This window comes from Homo sapiens, chromosome X (genome assembly GCF_000001405.40).
Source record: "Homo sapiens chromosome X, GRCh38.p14 Primary Assembly".
NCBI classification, from domain to species: domain Eukaryota; kingdom Metazoa; phylum Chordata; class Mammalia; order Primates; family Hominidae; genus Homo; species Homo sapiens.
This window is the reverse complement of record NC_000023.11, coordinates 30143751-30147808: the sequence shown is the minus strand read 5'-3', so window position 1 is coordinate 30147808 and position 4058 is coordinate 30143751. Positions and strand designations below refer to the sequence as shown.

Here is a 4058-nt window from a genome sequence, read left to right as displayed (position 1 = left end):
AACCCGAATACTGATGGTTCCTCTGATGCATTCTTCTGAACTACAGCAAGTTAAATCCACATTGACTACAGTTGTGTCACAGGTGGTCTGTGGCTGGTGAGTTTTTACAAAAGATAAGGAAAGCCTTTAAGAAGTTAGCATCTGAGGTTGGCTTTGAAAAATGGGTTATTTAACCAGTGGGGATATATGGAGAGGATGAGTTGGAGCAGGGCATAAGCACAAAGAAGCCACAGAGAACAGGGTTTGTTAGGGGACAGTGAGCCCCACAGTTTGCCAAGAACTCAGGCTACAGGTAGGGAAAGTAATAAAGTAGGAAAGGTATGGGGGTGAGGGTCATATTGCAAAAGGCTTTCTCTAGCAGGTAAAGGATATTGATAAGCCATGGGGGGCACCTGAAAGTTTTTGAAAGGAGAAGTAGGACGTTCAGAGCTATGCATTAGGCCATTAGTGTTTCTTTGACTATCCCTGTGGGTAAATCCACAGTGAAGTACTTTCTGGAGATTGAAAAATCATTTGGCCCTCTGGGAAGCAACAGCAAGAGGGTGGACTTGACTTAACTAAAAAAACTTTCACCAAGATCCAGCTGCTACTAATAATTGAATATTTTCTCTTTTGATTTGTGTTGTTTTGGTGAGCTCCAGAATAGCAGTTTAAAGTGTTTAATTGGTTTTCCTCCGTTCAATTTTATTAAGCTGTCCTGGGCTCTTGAGTCGGCAAACTTAGCACTTTTTTTTTTTAAAGCTGAGCTTGCTTTCTCCAGAAGGTTTTCCTCCAGTTTATTCAGCTTAACTTCTCATATCTAATGCTGAACACTCACCAGCTGCTGGGCATGCAGGAAAAAAAGAAAAAAGGTCTCAGTAATGTTATCTGAAGTTTTTTTAAAAAAAATTTTGCCTCAGAATATGTGGAGCTCAAAGAAAAACAGTGTGAACAAGCTTTCTTCTGCTGTTGGACAATATGCCCAGTAATTAACTTGTTGTGAATGCCTGAGGATATCACTGTTTTCCACAGCATGAAATGATAGAAAAAAAACACCAGGCAGGGTCTCCGGAGATCTAGCCAATGTCACTGCTCTGCCATTGACCAGCTATGTGACCATGCATGTAATGATCATAATGACTGACATATCAATATATATTCCCTCTCAATGATTACTCCAAATCAAATGTGTCCAACTCTGACTGCACACTAGAAATACCTTTGTATCTTGCTAATGCTTCACCTACCTTTAATGATACCAGGGTGGAGAGCCTCTGGTTTAAATTGATCATTGTTATGACTGTTTCGTTAATCACCTCATTGTTGGTGATTGGTCAATGAAGCTCAATAGCAAATTATAGCTAATTCTTATTGAGTGCTCACTGTATCAGTTAGCCTTAATTAATATTTGGTACATAACAAACCACCCCCAAAACTGAGTGACTTTATTTATTTCACAATTCTATGGGTTGGCTGTGAGGCTCTACAGGTCTGGGCTGACTTGGCTAATCTGGACTGAACTTGCTCAGGTATCTGTGGTCAGCTGGATGGATGACTGGTGACTGGTTAGTCCAGGATGGCTTCATTCGTATGTCTGGTTGTTGGACAGAGCAACAGAAGCAGTGTGTCTTTCCTCTCCAGCAGGCTGCCCTGGGCTGCTTCATATGACGGTGTTCAGAGTAGCAAGAAAAGGCAAGCCCCCAATAAGCAAGTGCTTTGCATAACTCTGCTTATGTCATGCCTACTATCCTTTCATTGGCCAAAGCAAGTTACATGGCTGAGCCCAAAGTCAGTGTGGAAGGGACCCAAGGATGTGAATACGTGGAGACTTGAACAAATACTACAACAATCTACTATATACATTACGTGCCAACTAATATTCTAAGCTCTATACAAATAATAACTTATGTAATACCTCAATTAGGTAGAATAAAATGTACTTATTCCACCTTACAGTTGAGGAAAATTCGGCACAAAAAGGTTAAGTAACTTGTCCAAGAAAGGCTACACAGCTGCTAAATAGCAGCATTGTTATTCTAATCCAGTCAGTCTGGTTCTAGATTTCATGCTCAGAATCACAACATACATAGCTGAGGGGTGTTAGGAAAACCTCCTCACTCTCATGTAGAAGACACAGGAAGAGACAGTCCTGCTCTTTCTCTGGACATTATCGTGTGTGGAAGTGAGGCCTGGTGCTGGGGCAGTCATCTTGTCAATACACAGTAGAGTCCAGGGCCAAGAGAACTGTCAACAGCCAGAGTTCTGTGACTCTGTGATAAAGTCCATCCTGTTTCTGGTTATGTGAGATAGTAAAACTCCTTTTTGTATGCATCAGGGTGAGTCAAAACTTTTGATTACTGATTGTGGCAGAGGGTCTACACAGCGGTAAAAAGATTAAACGTTGGGAGATGTTTAGCTTTGCTTTTGTATTAGTTTTCTGTTGCTGCTGTAACAAATTACCACAAACTTAGCAGTTTACAACAACACACATTTATCATCTTCCAGTTCTCTGGGCTTCATGTTCAACACGGATCTCACTGGGCTAAGATCAAGATGTAAGTAAGAACTTCACTCCTCTCTGGAGCCCTGAGGGGAAAATCTGTGTTCTTCCTTTTTCCAGCTTCTAGAGACCATCAGCATTCTTTGTCTTGGGGTTCCCTTCCTCCGTCTTCAAAGTCAGCAAAGGCAGGTTGAGTCATTCTCACATCTGTCTTTCTGACCCTTCTGTCATTGCATCTCTCTCTGACCGCAGCCCATGAAAATTCTCTGCTTTTAGGGACTCATTTGATTAAATTGGGTCCACCAGATACTGGAATGATCTCTATCTTAAGGTCTCTGACAAACCCTTGATCAGATATTTAAGGTCCCTTTTGCCACGTAAGGTAAGATCTCACAGTTTCTGAGAATTAGAACATGGATATTTTGGGAGACCCATTATTCTGCCTACTACAGTTCTCTTGGCAATTGTATTTACTGAGCAATGCATGTATATACTGACACTTTTAATCTTAAAAATATACTTTAAAATTTCTAATCGTGAAGCTAACAGACATTAAATGCATAAAATCTTGAATGCACTAGAAAGCACAAAGGAAATTGTAAAATTATCCATAACCTTCTATCCAGAACTAAGCACAATAGCACTTTGGCATATATCCTTTAGCCTCTGTGCATATATTTTTTGACAAATGGATGCATATTGTATACATCTACACTATCTTCTCTTTTCACTTACCACTAAATTATGAGCATGTAAAAATTGTCTTAATTTGAATGGCTACATAGCATTCCAGCATGTAGACAGAACTGACATGATTTACTTAAGGAATCCTTTATTGCTGGACATTTATACTGCTGCTGAACTTTCACCCTTATCAATAGCAAACATTCTTGCACATATATTTGTACACAAATAGTTGGGCACATTCTTTAAGACTAGAATAAGTAGTGATAACATCTTGGTTTTAGAGTCTGAGTTACTAGAAATGGAATTTTACAAGTTTTAAAGGTCCTTACTGTCATGATTCTCAAAGTAGGGTACTAGAATCACCTGGAATTCTTCTGAAAATGTGGGTTCCTGAGCATGACCTATATATACTTAGACTCTGTGTGACGAGAATTGAGGTTCTGCATTTTTAAACAACCTCCCCATGATTGTTATTTACACTCAGCAATATCTAATTCTACTTCCAACTTTTCCTTTTCCTGAAATCTGTGGACACCTACATGCAATGACAGTTATTTAAATATCATGTCCCCTATAATAACTTGCAAAGCAATCTGGGAAAAAATGTGTGTGATATGAAAGATATGAGAGCCATTTTCTCTGTCCTGTTCTCAAAATTTGTCCAGTTTGTTGCTTAGAGGCTAAATTTTCATAGCTTGCCACCCTCAATCAGAGTGCTTTGCTTTTTTACTTAAGAATGTCTAACAAATGAAAAAGCACATATTAAAATCAGGTTTTTCTGTACACAGATAGCTCATTCTGAGGGATGATTAGAAGCTTCATTGTGTATTGGTTATATACTATATCCTTCTTAAGTACATTATGTTTTTTTTTTTTTTTAATTTTCACAATG

At 39.0% G+C, this 4058-nt stretch overlaps 1 annotated feature.

Moving 5' to 3' along the window:
- Positions 2123 to 2417: an enhancer, noted in NCBI's record as "tiled region #11934; K562 Activating DNase matched - State 3:PromF". NCBI's record gives its function as "activates a minimal TATA promoter and a strong SV40 promoter by Sharpr-MPRA in K562 cells {active_cell/tissue: K562}" and the evidence as "EXISTENCE:reporter gene assay evidence [ECO:0000049][PMID:27701403]".